General features: G+C 43.5%; 1 protein-coding gene across 15 annotated transcripts in view, besides 2 other annotated features; it reads right to left on the bottom strand.

The window, feature by feature from the left end:
- MAGI2 (membrane associated guanylate kinase, WW and PDZ domain containing 2) overlaps positions 1-18,865 on the bottom strand; it is a 1,436,613-nt gene that overhangs the window by 16,349 nt on the left and 1,401,399 nt on the right. The gene's annotated exons all lie outside the window — the stretch shown is intronic.
- Positions 6,891-6,970: a silencer, noted in NCBI's record as "silent region_18333". NCBI's record gives its function as "represses an Ori minimal core promoter by ATAC-STARR-seq in GM12878 lymphoblastoid cells {active_cell/tissue: GM12878}" and the evidence as "EXISTENCE:reporter gene assay evidence [ECO:0000049][PMID:35858748]".
- Positions 14,331-14,831: an enhancer, noted in NCBI's record as "H3K4me1 hESC enhancer chr7:77677051-77677551 (GRCh37/hg19 assembly coordinates)". NCBI's record gives its function as "activates a minimal SCP1, AML or CMV promoter by ChIP-STARR-seq in naive H9 embryonic stem cells {active_cell/tissue: H9 hESC(naive)}" and the evidence as "EXISTENCE:reporter gene assay evidence [ECO:0000049][PMID:30033119]".

The following is an 18,865-nucleotide window of genomic DNA, read 5'->3' on the forward strand; positions in this document are numbered from 1 at the left end:
TCAAGGGTGCAGTGAGCCATGATCATGCCACTGCACTCTAGCCTGAGCAACACAGTAAGAGCTTGTCTCAAAAAAAAAAAAAAAAAAAAGAAAAAAGAAACTACTAATTTTTATACAGGCTTGTGCAAGGCACTGGAGAAGTAAAGAAGAACAAGACACAGTTAGTGCCTTCAGGGAACTCATGGTACTATTTCAAATTTCTAGACTTCTAGAGGGAAGTACAGAGTGCTGTGGAGTGGGTGGGAAGAGAACAGATTGTTCTGTATATGGGCCTTAGGGAAAGTGTGAGTTTGAGTTTGAAGGGAGAATAAGAGTCTGCTAGATGCAGAGAGTAGGGAAGAGTATCCCAGAAAGTGGGGTCAACAAGGGCCGAGCTCAGTGGGCTGCTGTGGGAAGGGGGAGGGGTGCATGGGATGGTGGTGGAAGAGGTGGAAGCTCAGAAGGCAATTTGTGGAGAACCCTGTGTGCCAACCAAGGAGTGGGACCCTCACCCTGTAGACAATGGGCTGCCAGTGAGATTTTTTAAGCAGGAGAGTGATGCTCAATCCCTCCGTCTTACCTAAACAGATGAGTCAACCCAGAATACCAACAAATAAACTACATGTGGATTACAACTTATTGTGGTGTTTTAGGTTCTTTTATCAGCAAATTTCTATATTATTTGTATTGACAAGTAGAAGCACGCTCACTCTTAGGGTGAAGAAATTCTACTAATTTTGTGGCTAATGAATATCGAACATCTACTTTGTGCCAGGTGCTGTGTTTGAAGTTTAATTTGTTATGACAAAGTGACATGCCCTTAAGGAGCTTGTTATAGGAGGTAGACATAGAACAAGTGACTTCAAATGTGATGATTAGAAAGTTGGGGGGAAAAAAGACGAAAGGTGCTACAGAAGCATTTAATGGAGGAGGTACTCTCATTTAGGGGTTCAGGGAGGCCTCCCTGAGGAAATGGTCATTAGGTGAAAACTAGCTGATCATAATTTTATTATAAGCAGCAGAATCATTCCCTATTTCTTTAATAACCAGCCATTCTTTCAAGTGGTCCCTTCCCTTCTACTTTGAAGCACTTCCAGCTCTTGCCTACCTTGAAAAGAGGAAAAAACCAAATATCTCAGTTTATTTTATTTTATTTTATTTTTTAGATGGAGTCTCGCTCTGTCACCCAGGCTGGAGTGCAGTAGCGTGATCTTGCCTCACTGCAACCTCTGCCTCCCGGGTTCAAGCAGTTCTCCTGCCTCAGCCTCCCTAGTAGCTGGTACTACAGTTGTGCACCACCACGCCTGGCTAATTTTTGTATTTTTAGTAGAGACAGGGTTTCACCATGTTGGCCAGGCTGGTCTTGAACTCTTGACCTCAAGTGATCCACCTGCCTTGGCGTCCCAAAGTGCTGGGATTACAGGCATGAGCCACCGTGCCCGGCCGAAATATCTCACTTTTATACACCCAAACTAAGCTTTTCATTATTTTCTAGAATCAGCCATATAATTCTGACTTTCCTACAGTCTTACATCCACTCATTCATTCACCTGTTCAAGTTCTGTGCCTCCTGCGTGGTATTTGGGGGGACTCCACATGGATTCTGTAGTTGAAACACAGGATGTGAGGTGTGGCGTGAAGCAGGGGAAGCCATGATGCGCTTCTGCATTTGCGGGACATACACAGGACTAAGGCGTCCACTGTGCAGGTGCTGGAGACACACTGGAGGGTTTGAAGCCTGGGCATCAGAGGTGTGTGTTAGATCCCTGGCATGGGTGCTGATGCGGCCTTGAGATGAGATGAGGAGCCACGGTGGCCGGCAGGGCTGCTGTGCAGGTGAGAGATGGGACGGGGCGGGACAAAGCAGAGAGGGAGGGATCAGCTTTGGAAGGTAGCGGAGGCGAGAAATAGGACTGAGATGTGTGGAGGTGGCGGAGGAGAGAAACAGCAGGACTGAGGAGGTGCGTGGAGGTAGGAGTGAGTGAACGAGGGGTCCCAAGAGAGCCTCAGGGCTCCAGCTTGTGTGATGGTGGATGGTGATGCCATAGCGGAGATTGGGAACAGATTGAACAAGCAGGTTTGGACCTGCCCAGTGTGGGGATTCTGAAATCTCCTTTAACCTCTTCCTTTCCCTTAATCTCTCTATATAATCAGTCAATAAGTTCCCTCAGTGTTTTTTCAGAACGTCTCTCGGGTTCATTCCCACTCTCCCGAGGTTGACTTCAGCCCTTGTTTCCTTAAAGTGAGATGTTACAGCATCATCCTATCAGGCCATCTGGCCACTGGCTTCCACTCTTCAGCCCAGCCTGTATTCTGCTTCCTAAAATACACCCTCTTATTTGACATCTAATCATGGCCTGAATGTTTTTTTTTTTTTTACTTTATTGTAGTAAACCCTTAGTCTATCCCTTACTTCTTCATGTGTTTACTCTCCTTTTTATGTCCTTCTTTCACAATTAAATGATTTATTCCTTGAAGACAGAAACTGTATTCTAAAGCTTCGTTGTTAGTAGTGCCTTCCAAAAAGTTTTGCCCAACAGTAAATTTGTGTTAAATTTAATTTTACTTTAAAAACAATAAGAATACAATGTGGTGAATATTATTTTAAAGTCTCACATTTCAAAGCATTTTTCATCAGGTATTGGCAAATGCACGTTTGTGTGTGTGTGTCTGCGTGTGTGTGTGTATTTTTTAAGGCATATTATCCAAATTTTTGCCAGTAGCAACCTGAGGTGGATTACCTATTGAATGAATTCCACTTCAGTAGCTGACTTTGTTATGTCAGCATCGACAAATGCCAGGGATAGGAAAGAATTGAAATCTAGAGTGAGGCAGTGTAGATATAGATCTTAGCTTCACTACTGAACAGCTGTGTGGCTTTGTGCAAATTACTTAACTTCTCCAATCATAAGTGATATAATATCTATCCCAAAGACTGTTAAAAAATTAAAATTATGCAAATTTTCATAAAAATTAAATGAGCATCTAACATGGTTTTTGGCATATAGTAAGCACTTGTAAATAATAATAATAATGATGGTAAAAAAACCAGCTAACATTCACTAGGCGCTTTCTCTTCATACTCAATGCTGTGCATGCGTTCTGTCATTTAAGTTTCATAACAAACCTAAGAAGTAGATACTGCTGCTGTTTTTATTACACAGATGAAGAAACAGAGGTTCATAGAAGTTAAGTGGCTCATCCAGAGATTGTCCAGTTTTATCCCCTTTAGATAACTTTTTAGTTTTTTTTTTAAGACAGGGTCTTGCTCCGTTGCCTAGGCTGGAGTACAGTAGTGATCATAGCTCACTGCAGCCTCAATCTCCTGGGCTCAAGCAGTCCTCCCACCTCAGCCTCCTGAATAGCTGGGACCACAGGTGTCTGCCAGGCCCAGCTAATTTTTGTATTTTTTGTAGAGAAGGGGTTTCTCCATGTTGCCCAGGCTGGTCTTGAACTCCTGATCTCAAGCAATCCACCCTCTTTGGCCTCCCAAAGTGCTGAGATTATAGGTGTGAGCCACCATGCTTGGCCTCTTTAGGTAACTTTTATCTTAAGCTCCTGTAAGGAGAGAAAAGGAGAGGTGTAGGTGTATCACTTCTTTCCCATATATCCTGCAGAAGATGCTATGAGTAGAGCAATAGCCCTAGAGAAGGATGAACAGAGAACCTGGTAGATCTGCCACCTGGATAACCCCCCTGTGCAAGAACCAGTGCCCCCAAGGCATCCAGGTAAAAGGAGCTCTCCTAAAGGCAAGCAGGGGCTGATTAACATGAGCGTTGGGCAGACAGTGGCTCTGGGTGTACCTAGCGCAATTGGGGTCACAGGCCCCTCTTTGAACTTAGGGTGGGGGTGGAGTGGTGGAGGGCCTATGATGTCCTTAGCTCCAGCTGCAAGCTCCTGGTTACTGCAGGCTTCTTTCTCCATAAGGCAGCTGAGGATGCAGAAAACCTTTCCTTTCTACTCCTGTGTTGTGAAAGACCCCTGCATCTTTCCTGCTGTGATAATAAAGAACAAAAGATGAGACTATTTGGAACCATCTGAGCCCTCATCGGTGTTGATAAAGCCTGCCTATGAATTTTTATTTCTGCGAACAGTCCCAGAATTCCTTCCTAAAAACAAACTGATTGGTGTCAATTTGTGTAGCATTTAGGGCTCATATATAATGGCCGATTTCAAGCAGGCTTAATTTCATTTTAGCGCAAGATAAGTTTTTTCATTGGAGCCACTTTGTCAGAAATAAAATTGAGCTGGAAAGAAAAACAAGAAGCAATTTGACTATCCTTACAGATGGTGGTTTATCAAGCCTTGAATTTTTATAGGTGTGTGATGCAAATGTGGAAAAACCCTCCTGTGTCAGCAACCCCTGCAGAGAGTGTCAGTGCAGCACCCCAGGGAGGGGGAGCCAAAGGATGGCTGAAAAAAGATCTCAGAGCTGAGGGGAGAGGATTTATGTTGGTGGACCTGCTGTAGAATGGTCCCCATTTCTTTCGTTCAGTACCTTTGCTGAAGCAGTAGGAACTAGTTCCTGGGCTGTGTGCACGTCTGGAGTCTAAAAACTCAGCGCTTTGTCTCTTCACAGGAGTAGACATGTCAGGATTAGATCTTTGGCCATCAGCGTCACCTACTCAGAGAGGCCTCTCTTCCCACCTTGTCCCAAGTGGTTATTTTCTTAGTTCCTTCTTCGTTTCTTTTACAACATTTACTATAATTTGTGTTCGCTCTTTTTTTGTAAGTGTGTCTCCCTTTACTAGACTATAAATTCTGTTAGAAAGGGACTGGGATCTGTCTTGTTCACTGTTGCAATTTCAGCCCCTAACACAGTGCTGGGCACATGTTAAGTGTTCAGTAAATATTAATTGAATGAAGAATGAAATCAGAGATCACTCATTCCCCTTTCTTGAAAGTGGAGCCACCTTAATTTTTCAGATGAATATGGCGTATGTGTATATTTCACATATATGTAACTAGATCAGGATCTGCACCTGTAATGTATTCATATGAAACACTAACTTGATGTTTTACTTTTTAATTAACTTTAATTTTATTGTAGTATTGTATTGTTAAATGCAAAAAATTTAAGGCTATCACATGCTTTGTAAAATTTGCAGGAAAAAATTTGTATGAATTTCTATATCCTTGCCACTCAAAGTGTCCTCTGTGGACCACATCACCTGAGAACTTGCTAGAAATGCAGACTCCCCACCTAGACCCACTGAATCTGAATCTGCATTTTAACAGGCTCCCCAGGGATTCACATGCGGGTTGAAGTTCAAGATGGCTCTAAAGTCACAATTTAGCCTGTGAGTTCACTTTGTAAACTGTGGGAGGCAGGTGAACTGAAGTTGAGGAAAGAAAGAAGAGCTTCAACCAGGACACTGAAGTGAATGATAGTTGCAGGAAGAATGAGAAATTCTATGCTTCACAGGCCAGTTTTTGTTTTCAAACCCTCACAGTGCCTGTTGGTTTAGTTAAGTTCGTGGGCGTTTTCACTGAGCCAAACTCACGTCACGTTACCGGCATAGCCAGGACAGGACAACAACACCTGGACTGCCATAACTATGATTCCAGAGAGGGTATCTAAATAATACGTTAATAGTGTTTTTAAGTTTTCACAAGTGATTCTAATGGGTGTCTAATATTCACTTAGAGGATTTTTTTTTTAAGTTAGTAAGTTAGTTGCTGTTGTTATAAAGAACATCTTAGAGCCTGTTTATCCAGGTAACACATTCCTGAGATTTGCAGCTGGTTCAGACACTGCAGCCAAGTACCTGGCCCTTCCTCTCTCTCTTTGACTGGCAATAAGCTGAGGGAAGAATTGAAATTATACAGGCTCTTCTTTGAAAAACTGGGTTAAAAAAATCTCAATTCTCTAAATTGTAGATGTGATCTCTCACACCTGAATTAATCAATTAAATAAGCATTTATTCAGTGCCTAAAGGTGCCAGTGTGGGGCTGGTTCTGGGGACCAAAGACTAAGAATACCAGATTCCTGCCTTCAAGAGAGAGTCTGTGACTTTGGTTTATTCATGACAAATCTCTTCCCCGCCTGGTGGAAAACCTGGAATTCTCTGTCTTTAATCAATTTACTTTGTGCTCTAGGTCAATAGGAGTACCCATCACAATGAAAAAGTCTTGTTCTTTATCATTTGGAAAATTAGACCTTCTTTCCAAGATGTCCTTAGTCACTGATCCTCATCAGTGTGGATGATCTTTCCTTTACCCTGAGCAGGTTGTTTTTATTCTGTGGGCCTTCAGAGCAGAAAGAAAAACCATTTTAGAGGCGGTTCTGTTGAATGTGCCTGGCACATTGGTGCTAAACAGGGAATAAATCATAATAAATGGAAATAGTCGCCCATGGCATGATCTGATTGAGTCGTTTAAACAATCATTTTGTGTTGACAAAGGGTAGAGTGATTATGCTAGAGGAATTCAAAGGTGCTCGAAACAAAGCAATTGGAGAAATTGCTTGAAAAATGTGGGGAGTTATTCCAGGGCAATAGACTTGCTTCATTCTGGCTCAGTCTTGAAGTCTATAGACCCAGGCGGATCTCTGCAGTTTTGCGAGATGAACCTCCTAGCAACCTGCTAATACCATTCATTCTGCAGCTTGGGAGGTTAATCCTCACAGTAATGTGTGGGTAGAGTCACTTAGAGGGCAGCTCCTAGCATACGTGCAACTGTGCTCATACAGATGTCTGTTTGACTTGAACAAGGAAGACATTATTAGTAATAATAATTCGTGCAAATAGGCTGCTATTGCCAGAGCATTCCTGAGACAGCTCGTTGTGCTCTTGGGGCGCCCCTCTGGGGCTTGTGGGTGGGGACTATTTTTGTATGTCTTTTCCAAAGGGAAATGCCAGGAGGGTAAGCGACTTCCTTTGGATCACCTTGCAGGCGGGCCGGAGTGAGAGCTGAATTCTAGTCTTCCCCACCCTCTGTCCAAGCAGAGCGAGGATGAGGGGAGGCACAGGCGGGAAGGAGGACGGGCGCCCCCTGGCGGCCCCTGGTCGTGCCGCAGCCTCACATTCCCGCGGGTTCCCTTCTCGCCGCGTTCTCTACCCTGCCCGGCTCAGCCCAGGGTCAGGAAGGGGGCGCCCGATTCCACCCCTTTCTCAACCTTCCCTGGGTGGGTAAGGTCACCCCACACGGGTTCAGGTGGTGGTCCCTCGACTGGGAATGAGGGGATCCTGAGGATCCCGCAGGTAGACGTAGAGCAGCGGGGCTCAGCTCTGGAAGCGCGGGATGACTTCTGGGAACCGCACCCGGGGCAGGTCACCTCGCCTTGGAGACAGCCCTGAGTCAGGTCAGGTGGCAATCGGGATGACGTTACACCTCCCACGGAGACGTCTAAACCCTCGTGAAGTCTGCCTACACATTTACATCATTCTCTATTCATTACGGCTCAACTCAGGAATGATTGTTGACTGGCACGGAAATAAATGACAACCATTAAGGGGCTAACTGGAGCTGTTAATCGTTTGAGAGGCCTTTCGGTAAGTCATCCTTCCAAGGCGGCTAGATCATTCTGGAGTAGCCTCAAAGGTGCCTGCTGCTGTCCAGAGAAATCTCACTGCCCGCTTGTGCATCCTTTGACCCTCCACCAGCACTTTGTTGAATGCTCGTGGCGTGTTGATGGGGAAAGATTGAAACTAACTCAGGCTCCTTTAGTACCAAAGACCACATCTGATTCTTCTCACCTGAAGTCTGTGTGCTTTAATGTGAGTCTCTGTGGAAAGAAACAAATCCACCACTCATTCCAGCTACCTGAGACTGCAGTATGCGATGGAAGGCTCCTTCAGCCTCAGACACTGCACAAGAAGCCTCTGGAGGCTCCTTGGGTTGGGATACTTAGACAGCCAAACACAAACACACAGAAAGGATTCTTTCAAAATAGAGATACGAGTTTGGTTGAATGAAAGACATAGTAGGAAATTCTTGAGGTTAGGAGCTTTGCAACCTCTAGTCAGCTTGCTGCAAGGCTGCTCTCTCAGGCTCCTATCACCTGGAAAGGCACCAGGTGTGGTGGCTTACGCCTGTAATCCCAACACTCTGGGAGCCCAAGGTGGGAGGATCTCTTGAGCCCAGGAGTTTGAGACCACCCTGGGCAACATAGCAAGATTCTGACTCTACAAAAGTACAAAAATTAGCTGGGTGTGGTAGTGCGTGCTTGTACTCCTAGCTACTAGGGAGAATGAGGTGGGAGGATTGCTTGAGCCTAGGAGTGGGAGGCTACAGCGAGACATGATTGCACCACTGTACTCCAGCATGGGTGACAGAGTGAGACGCTGTTTCAAAAACAAAAAGCAAAACAAAACAAAACCAAAACAAAAGGCTGGAAAGTCAGCTTCCTGAATGCCAGTTGGTGGGCTGTGGCCAGAACCTACCAGACTTGATGCCCTGCTCTGTCCTCTGAGTGAATAGTTCATTGAATGGACCTTCTTTAAGTAGGCCTTCCTGCTGGAAAAGACTGACAGAACCCTACTCCTACAAGTGAGGCTGCTGTCTGGGAGAGGTGAAGAGGTTTGGCATGGAGGAAATGAGCAGCTGGGACCCCCCACAACCCGCCCTGTGATAGACACAGGGGTCTGCCGCATTGCGGACTGGCAGAGCTGCTCCCTTCACTGTGGTCCACTTTCTAAGGCTGAAAGATGGTTCCATTAACATGGATACTGAGAGCATCCATGAGTACAGGAGACATGAGACATGGGCCTAAATTGCTCCTTCTGATCTCAAATCAGTAGTGTTATTTACTTTACCCTTTCTTCCTTGATTAATAAAGGAAGGTCCTTGAAGAGGTTTGCTGTTGACTCCAAAGAGTCAGGGTCATGGGGTCTTTGTTCAGGTGCCCAGTGGTTGAGGAATATGTTCTTTGGCTAAGCTTACATGCTTTGATGAGTTACCCAAAGAGGAACGATATGATAATCTTAAAATGCTAACATGGCAGCTCTTTCTGATTCTGGCAAACATTATAGGTTTTGAGCCAACATGGGTGGGCTGCTACTTTGTAAGACAACATTCTGTGTAATGGCTTGGAGTCTGGTTGAATTTTGGGAGTGTCTGGAGGGTTATAGGCTGATCAAGAGGGCGTGAACTCCTCTGGGCTATTGTAGTACAGGGTTTAAGTCTGGCCTGTGAAGTCAAACTGCCCAGCTTCTAGTCCTTGATCGTGCTCCCTGACCAAGCAGGTCACCTGAAATGCTCTAAGCCTTGGTTTTCTTATTAGCAAAATGTGAGTGAGTAGAGTACCTACCTCATAGTTGTTGTGAGGTTTCAATGGGCTCAATAACTTAGTGTGCCAGGCACATTGTTAATAAGAAGTAAATGCTCTTGTTATCATTTGGCCTGCCAAAAAAGACCTAACCTTCTGGAGGTGCTCTGAAGGCCTCGGACTGGACTGAATCTCTTGGAATTACTCCCGATAAATAAGCTTTATCTAGATTTGGAGTATCAGAGCTGGGGACATCTGGGGATGCCAAATGCAGCTGACTGATACAATTGCCAGACCCCACGACTCAGGGCTTCATCAGTACATCAATATATACAATATGCCGGGATACACCAACATCCCCTTAAACCTTTTGAATCAGATCAGCAGGGCACAACATAGGAGAAAGAACATTATCGTTTGGAGTCAGAGGACAGGTTCAAGTACACTGTCTGTTGCTTCCTAGCTGTGTGACCTTGGGCAAGCCACAGCCTCAGTTTTCCTAAATGTTAAATGTTAACTACTTCCCTTGCCTTCTTCACAAAGCTGCCTGTGTGAAATAATTAGATAACAGCATTATTTAATATGCATATAGAGTGGGATATTACTTTTCTTACCTATAACACCTGACAAGAAGAGGCTTAACTCATAAAAATAGTGTTTTTTTTGAGCCATCTTTTGGTAACTAAAATTGATACAAAGGGCCTTGGATCATGTCCTAGGTGAGCTGAATGGTCCCATTGTTTCTGCGTGTGGCAGGTGGAGTAGGGGGTGGGAAAATACCTGCGTAGCCAGTTTGTATAATACTCTGGAGCTTCCTATCAGCCTTAAAGGTCAAGAGAAAGTTTTGTTGGGAACATAGTTTTAGATTAATTTTTAGAAGTGCAGCTGCTCCCTTGACCTCTGGGGCTGGAAAGGATTGGCCAAAATCTCCATTTATATCCACTTGAAATAACTGACAAAGCTGGATTTGGGATTCAGAGAGTCCCAGAGGAAGGCCTGTCAGTGCCTTCTTCTTTTTTAGCCTTTAAGCTTGAATGAGTCGAGCGAGTCAAAGAAATTTTAACGGATGTACAGACAATGTCTTCACGGTCAACTTTTCACATCGTCGTTTGCTTAGGAAAGAGTGAAGATTAAGCAGCTTGCACTTTATTTTTGGCAATGCCTTTCCCTAGAACACAGGAATCCACAATTTACTGAGGGGAAATAATTATAAACCTTAAGAGGTGTAAGTTTCAGCCTCAAAAACTAACAAACTGAGAACTAATGTATTTTTGGTATAATTACTAGTTTTACTAAGTTTGATTTTTGCCAGACTTTCACCTAAAGCAAATGCAAAAAAGAATAGTGACAATTAATGGATTGGGCCAGTTACTAGAGTAGAAATCTTTCAGGTTCAAGCTAATTCTCTTTACTCCTCTATTTTCCCAGGGTAGCATGATTAAAGGTAAATGAAAAACCAATGGGGATAATTTGTGTTATAACTTGCACTTCTATTATGAGGAGGACATCATTATTCTATTATTTTATGAGAAATGTTCATTAAAATAATGTGACTCCCCCAACTCCAAAATTTACGGTACCATTAATGTTTCCTTTTCAGAACCGAGAGTTCCTATAGCATTCTCTCACTTTTTAAGTTTGTCATCCATTATTTCTAAGTAGACATATGGCTGCTTTAACTAATAGAGGCATGTGTGTATGTCTGTATAGGACTAGAGAAGAGATCTTTCTTTTCCTCTCTCCAACATAGCTATGAGGAAGACAGGTCAGTTGCAATTACTGCCATTCCAGAGACAGAATGATAGAGGTGTAAGGGCCACCCACGATGGCATTAACACATCTGCAGACTCTAGATTCTCCTTTTGCTGAACACTAGCAAATCACTTTGAATCAATGTGGAGTTTTAGTATAGCTTTTTGTTCTTTTTCTTTTTCACAGCAGTATGGAAGACTGGTTAGTACGACAGTACACTGTGAAATCCTTAATTCATTTTTTCAGTTGACACATATTTTTGGGGACTTGGTAGATGGTCAGGATACAATGATCAACAAGATAGACAAAGTCAGTGCCTTGTGAGGCTAATGTACCGTGTGTGTGTGTGTGTGTGTGTGTGTGCACGTGTGCACACGCAGTTGGCTCCCACTGAGAGATGGAATGAGTGGCAAAGTTAAGCTGGCCTTTCATAGAATCTCAGTGTTACCTTTTGCTAAGAATGGGAATAAAGGCCAAATGTGAATAGAAACTTAGGACTCAAGAGACTTTATTTGATAAGTCTGTCTCAGAAATCTAAGGATGTGGCCGGGTGCGGCGGCTCACACCTGTAATCCCAGCACTTTGGAAGGCCAAGGCGGGTGGATCACGAGGTCAAGAGATAGAGACCATCCTGGCCAACACGGTGAAACCCCGTCTCTACTAGAAATACAAAAATTAGTCGGGCGTGGTGGCACATGCCTGTAGTCCCAGCTACTTGGGAGGCTGAGGCAGGAGAATTGCTTGAACCCAGGAGGCAGAGGTTGCAGTGAGCCGAGATCGCACCACTGAACTCTAGCCTGGCGATAGAGCGAGACTTGGTCTCAAAAAATAAATAAATAAATAATAAAATAAATAAAACAAAATCAAAACCAATAATAAATCTAAGGATGTACTTAAATTGTAGAGACATAGGTATATAGGAGGACAGCAACAGCCATTTAATGATCTTTGGTTGGGGTCTTATTTTTTTTAGTTTTGTTATTCATTCATCCATTCACTCATTTCGTCAAACACTGGGTGACCTATCCATATCCTTAAGTTAGAGCAATGTGCTAGCCATTGGGAATATGAAAATGAATTTAGAAACACTTCTCTTCATGACCTTGAGCAGCTCACATTCTAGGGAAAGGAAAAGAATACCTGAAGAAATAAATATGATACAATGTGTTAAGCACTTTAATAGAATTACATACTGAGCGATATAAAGATATAGAAAAGTCCCTCAGAAATACATCTTTGAGAAAAAGAAGCTGAATAATGATGGCGTTTTCATGAGCCTTTTCAGTTCCAGTCAACAATTTTATGGTTATGTTTATATGTGAGACAAGCCCTCTTTGCCTTCATCTGAGATCTGAAGATTCACTTAATCAGAGCCTGACTCCAATTTCCTTTACAATTATGTACAGTTCTCTTAGTAAAGAGCATGCATGCAGGGTGCTTTATAGCCTTATCCCACAGAACCCATACTCCGGATGGGAGATGTTACATTTCATCTCCATTCTCTGTCCCTTAACTTTTCCCTGCCAGCAGCCATCCTATACTAAGTACTAATATATAAACCTTGTGATACTTGCTCTATTGGACATTCAGTGGCCTTGCATCCTTCCCGTCAATGCCAAGCTTAAGAACTAGATGGTTTCCGGTGTCTCAGACCTGGCAGAACTTGAATGATGAACACACAGTTGAGAAATTCAGGAGAGTTAGGAACTTAATACCAAGGGAAGGAATCCCGCTTTCTCTGGGGCCTAAAAGGACCAGAAATAGGAATGTGGGCCAGGCACGGTGGCTCATGCCTGTCATCCCAGCACTTTGGGAGGCCAAGGTGGGTGGATCACTTGAGGTCAGGAGTTTGAGACCAGCCTGGTCAAAGTGGTGAAACCCTGTCTCTACTAAAAAAAAAAAAAAAAAAATTAACCAGGCATGTTGGTGGGCATGTGTAATCCCAGCTACTCTGGAGGCTGAGGCAGCAGAATCGCTTGAGCCCGGGAGGTGGAGATTGTGTTGAGACAAGATTGAACCACTGCTCTCCAACCTGGGTAACAGAGCGAGACTCTGTCTCAAAAAAAAACAAAAAAAAAACAAAGGAATGTGTCCAGTATCACACCCAGTGAAAATCTGGGTCATCATCATAGGTGAGACTGCTGACCACACATGTTGAATTACCTTCAACATGGCTTCTGCAAGCTAAAGATTTGACCATGGAATAGAATTCACTAACAGATCCATTTGAGAATAAATATCTGCATAGAGCTCTGACAAGGTGAGATATGGCCAAGTCATGGGGCTGCATGTGTGACCTATGAGGACACTCCTTTTAATCAACGTCCTCTACCAAGCAACTCATGATAGCTCTAAAAAAAAACCCAGCGTTAGTTATGGACCAATTGAATGATGGCTCTAGCTACCCTTATTTGCAGATCAGGGAAGAACTAAATCAAAAGCTGTAATTAAAAAAGATAATGACTTTTAAATTAGTTTTTATTAATAGAATTAAGCCATATTAAGTCTTGAGATGGTATCATAAGTATGCGAATAAAATGTTCTTCCCTAATGAAAACATATATGGACTGAATAATTTAAAAGTCATATATTACATGTTGGTTTATAACATTAAATATTAAATATATTAATTGGCAATATAAAGTAGCTTATGGACATTTTGTATCACTAGCTAAATAACTAGGTAATTCCTTATTGATCTCTATAGAGTCCAAACCCACATCAACCGGATGTAACAGTTTTGATACTGACTAGACAGAATGAGCACTTCTTAGAGAACCACAGGATGACGATGGGGGTTCTGTGCTCTCTGTGCATCATCTTAATAGGAAAGAAACAGAGACTGGGGGAGGATGATTTAGATTATTCACAAATAAATTCTCCCTTGAAGGCAAATAAAATGGGGAGTGGGTGTCAGTGGAATCTTCTTTCCTAGATATGTATTTGGTCAGCTGTCTGGGGAAGTCTGGCATGGAACTGCCTGGGGAGGAGAAAATGAACAGAATCATCTCCTGGTGAGCCTGTAATTGCACCAGCCTAGATTCCACATGGTAGCCTGTTGCCTTTTAGAAGGCCGCCGAGCCTTCTTGGATTTTCTAATGATGACCTTGTCCTTTGTCCTAAACCTGCTGTCTTCTTACACCCCCACATCTCTCCTCTGCCAGCAGTAACTCAGGAGCCAAGCCTCAGGGTTTGTCCTCCTCTGTTTTCCCTTAATCTGGTAACTGCAGCTCCTGTGTCTCTGCCTGATTTTCCACTCCCACCCTGGTGGAGGCCTTTGTCTCTGCTCACCTGCAACACTGCCATGGCTGCAATATTGTCCTTGTGGCCCCCAGCTCCAGGAACTCCTTTGTTGCCCCACTGCTCTGACTGCCCGCTCTGTCTTGCCTCTGTGGATGGCCTGGGCCTGCACTGTGGGCCTTGTCTGCCTCCCACCGTCTCTTGGGAAGACACCTTACATTCCAGTCACACTCCTTTCCATGCTTCAGCCCCAAGCCCTTGCTTGCGTTGATTTTGCCTATGACTGGATTGCCCCACTGCCTCTCTGCCTCCTAAAACCCAGCTCAGCTCAGATGCCGCCATATTCTTGCAGTCCTCCTTGATAAGCTCACAGAGAAAATGCACTTTTCCCTCTTCTGAGCACGTGTTGGCTGAAGTTTACTTGCTGATAGGATTGTGTTGGCTTTGCCTATCAGATAACAGCTGTGGCTTATTAATCTTTCCATTCCTAACAGTGCCAAAGTAAGTGCCTTGTACCAAAAGCTTTGTGGATTTGAGGAATGAATCAATTTAAGAGAAAGTCTTGCCCAGGTGACATTTTGGAATGGAGACTCTGAAATTAAATGGCAACCAAATGGACATTATGATGTCCTCACTGGCTTGTCTTCTATATGCAGGGTATGTTAAATTGGGTTTATTGCTTTGCTTTTTACACTTGAAGGGATAGTGTCTTAGGAAGAACGCTCCAGTGGAGAAAACAGTGACTCCCCTAGTACTGAGGTCCTGTGAATAGAATCTGTATTTTCACATATGCATATCTCTACATATGACTGTCACAATGGATGTGTCAGTTGGAGTCACTCTCTCACCTTCTTCCTCGTTGTTCCTCACGCTCATTAAAAACAGTCCCCGCCAATGCCCCCCTCCACCGATTACTAAAATATCAGAAGCAATTTGGATAATATATAAAAATGTATGATCTGGGTGGTATTTCTCACTACCCCCCTAAAAAGAACTCTCTTAATTTAGATTTTCCTCCAGTTTTTTTCTTCCTATAATATTTCTCCTCAGTCTCATATTTGTATAAGCTGGACTTTCACTTCATACTGTTTTTGGGTCAGGGAAGTGGTTTGTCCCAGGGCTTCCACCTAAGGATAAGCCTGAAACATAAGCAGTTCCATCAATTTCTGGTCTTAGTTTTAAGACATTCTGGGAGATTTCCAATGAATATAAGGAAAGCTGGATAATTTTAAGAAATGACTTCTGGCTGTGTGCGGCGGCTCATGCCTGTAATCCCAGCACTTTGGGAGGCTGAGGCGGGTGGATCACAAGGACAGGAGATCGAGACCATCCTGGCCAACATGGTGAAACCCGTCTCTACTAAAATACAAAAAAAATTAGCCGGGCGTGGTGGCGTGCGCCTGTAATCCCAGCTACTTGGGAGGCTGAGGCAGGGGAATCGCTTGAACCCGGGAGGCAGAGGTTGCAGTGAACTGAGATTGCACCACTGCACTCCAGCCTGCGCAACAGAGTGAGACTCCACCTCAAAAAAAAAAAAAAAAGACTTCAAAATTAATGTTAATTTATTCTTTCTTTTTACCCTCAGACTTAAGACATGCTGCTTTTGTTTAAAGGACAGGACATGATGAGAAAGAGACATTGTGAAATAAAAGACGAGACGGCATCTCATAATTTCCACCACATTACCAGTCTCATTAGTAAAGTGCTTCTCCCAGGAAATGGCTATTGCAAGCTAAAAACAAGTGTAAAGATGAGGAATAAGAGGAGCTTAAATTCATCTTTGGCTCAGAGCAGTTAGGGCTAAGGCCCAGAGTTGAAGTTTTTTCCTTCTAGACATTTTACTTAGTGCTCCTACCTTGGCTGATGTCTATTGTACTGCTCAGCCATTCCGCTTAATTCCTCTCTCAGCCATTCTTCCACTGCAAATCATGGCTGAGAGCTCGGTAGTTACTCTTGTAATCTGCTCTTGCCTATAACAAATGGTTGCAGACAGAATTGCAGTCCTATGATGTTTTTTTTAAGTGGCTCGCGGTAGAACCCCTAACAGCCTTTAACACCTTTTCTCCACTTCTAGTTGTGTATGTGGGTGGTGGGATCTATGTGAACTTGATAAACAAAACCCATCAGTTCCAAGAATACAGTTGACGAGACTGTATCCTTGTAACAGACGACATCCTGTAACAGTATACCTGGCAGAGCAAAACCATCGATGCAATGATTCTTTTAAAACATTGCAGAGATGTTGCAACGTTTTCTTATTTAGTTCAGAAGGGGCAAATGAGAATGCCAGGTTTTCAGGGTCTCACTGAACACCGATGAACTTCAGAATTGATATCTGTAATTTTCCACACATTTGTACTCGTGGCAATGAAATGCTCACTCTAACATCTTATGGTCCTTTGGCCTATGAAATATGCCACTATTTCTCTTTTCTAATAACCATTTCATACATTGGGACTGATAATGAGAGCTGTATGATACTTACGTAAAAGGTCAATAAATCGTTCACAACAGAGAAAATTCACCTGGTAGATGGTCCAGATTTTCTATTTTTCTCATCTAAAAGTTTCCTCAACTCGTTTTGCTAGCTATTACGTATGTATTAAGTGTTACATCTGTGTTTATATAACACATTTTCATACTCAATTTTGTCCTTGAATAGTTTTTACCCTTGGCTGTAAACCTGTCTGAACCTTAGGGATCTCATATTTAAATTGCCTGATGGTTTTAGGCCAATGTGATTGACCAGAATTGTAATTTATTTATTTAGTCTCATTTTTCCACACCATAGGCTCTTCAAATTAAGTCAGTATTACAAAAAAAGAGAGAAGATGGCTATTTAAAGTGAACATTGACTAGGAATAAATATTCTCAACTCAGTCAAGGTGGTCACACAAGACACTTTCTAAACATGCCTGGGACGTCTGCTTTGAACAGCATCTAAATGACACAAGAGGATTTAGCAAAGGCTACTGCTGTTCAGCTGAGAATATTGTATGATTAGAGAGAAAGCAGGGGAATTGAAACGTTTGTTTCTCTCTCAGGTTTGCAGGTTAGGCTGGTCAGAAATGCTGTTTGTGTCTCAGATTTCTGAGCTACAAGGTGGTGATCATTCTCTCATGGGCCTGATCTATCTTTATCTGACTTAAGGCATTCTCGGGGGCCTGTCTGCTCTAGTTCTCATTCTGCCTGAAAACATCATTTTATGAGGACTTTCTTAATGAAACAGCACATATTTGCAGGCAAAGGCATTCTTACCAGGAAGAGTGATAACTAACGGGCTCTACTGGCTCCCTCTACTATCACTAACTCAGCAGCAACCCCCTGTTGAAGCACTTTCACACTCAGTTAATAGGAACAGGCCACACAACTCTCCACCTTGCCCAGTGATACCTCTGGAGCCAGAAGCTAGTGGTCTCCTGGCAAAGGCCAACCCCCACCTGGAGCATTGACCTGTTTTGATTCTGCGGATTAGTCACTGTTTAGTGTGCCATAGGTCAGTTCTGTCACTAGCAAATGAAGCCTGCCTGGCATTTATTCTCAGAGAAATGTCTGAAAAGCTCTTATGGCCCATCACATTTCAGAAGAAAGCCATAGTCATGTCAAAGATGTCATGGGCTTCAGCCTTCTCTTGACTAATTGCTCTTCCCCAAAGAAATACAGTACACAGATGCAGGCAAGCTCCGAGGTGCTGGAGAGGGCCGATGATTTTTTTAAACTGTCAAGAAAGTGTGTTACGAGGTTGTACACAGCCCTCTGTTTCTGAGAAATATTGTTACTGCTGTTTAAAAACAAACTGAAGAAAATGGAAGGAGCAATAAAAATAAAACAAACTGTACATATACATAAATGTTATGCAATTGTTGGTCCTCACTGTCTTTTTCAATTTTGAAGGGAGTCTTCTTGTGTTAGAGCTTGAGGAGAGGTTTGAGAATTCACAGTGCAGCCATTGCGTAGCCATTTCCATGAGGTCAGGGCTTTGCTGGGTGTGGAGATGCTATAGTTTGGAGATACATATTTGAGACAGAGTCTGGCTCTGTTGCCCAGGCTGGAGTGCAGTGGCGCGATCTTGGCTCACTGCAACCTCTGCCTCCTGTGTTCAAGTGATTCTCGTGCCTCAGCCTCCCAAATAGCTGGGACTATAGGCATGCACCACCATGCCCGGCTAATTTTTGTATTTTTAGTAAAGATAGGATTTCACCATGTTGGCCAGGCTGGTCTTGAACCCCTGGCCTCAAGTCATCCACCTGCCTTGACCTCCCATTGTGCTGGAATTGCAGGTGTGAGCCACCATACCCAGCCTTTTTTTTTTTTTTTTTAAGACAAGATCTTGCTGTGTTACCCAGGCTGGAGGGCAATGGCAGCATCAGAGCTCACTGCCTGGGCTCAAGCAATCCTGCTGCCTCAGCCTCCCAAGTAGCTGGGACTATGGCACACACCACCACACTTGGCTAATTTTTGTATATTTTGTGGAGATGGAGTTTTGCCATGCTGCCCAGACTGGTCTTGAATTCCGGAGCTTCAGCGATCCACTCACCCTGGCCTCCCAAGTGTTGGAGGTGTGAGCTACTGTGCCAGCTGTTAGTTTGGATTTTTGACCCTCCAAACCTCATGCTGAAATTTGATCCCCAGTGTTGGAGGTAGGGCCTGGGAGGTGTTTGGGTCATTGGTGTGGCTCGCTCTGAA

This window comes from Homo sapiens, chromosome 7 (genome assembly GCF_000001405.40).
Source record: "Homo sapiens chromosome 7, GRCh38.p14 Primary Assembly".
In the NCBI taxonomy this organism is placed as follows: domain Eukaryota; kingdom Metazoa; phylum Chordata; class Mammalia; order Primates; family Hominidae; genus Homo; species Homo sapiens.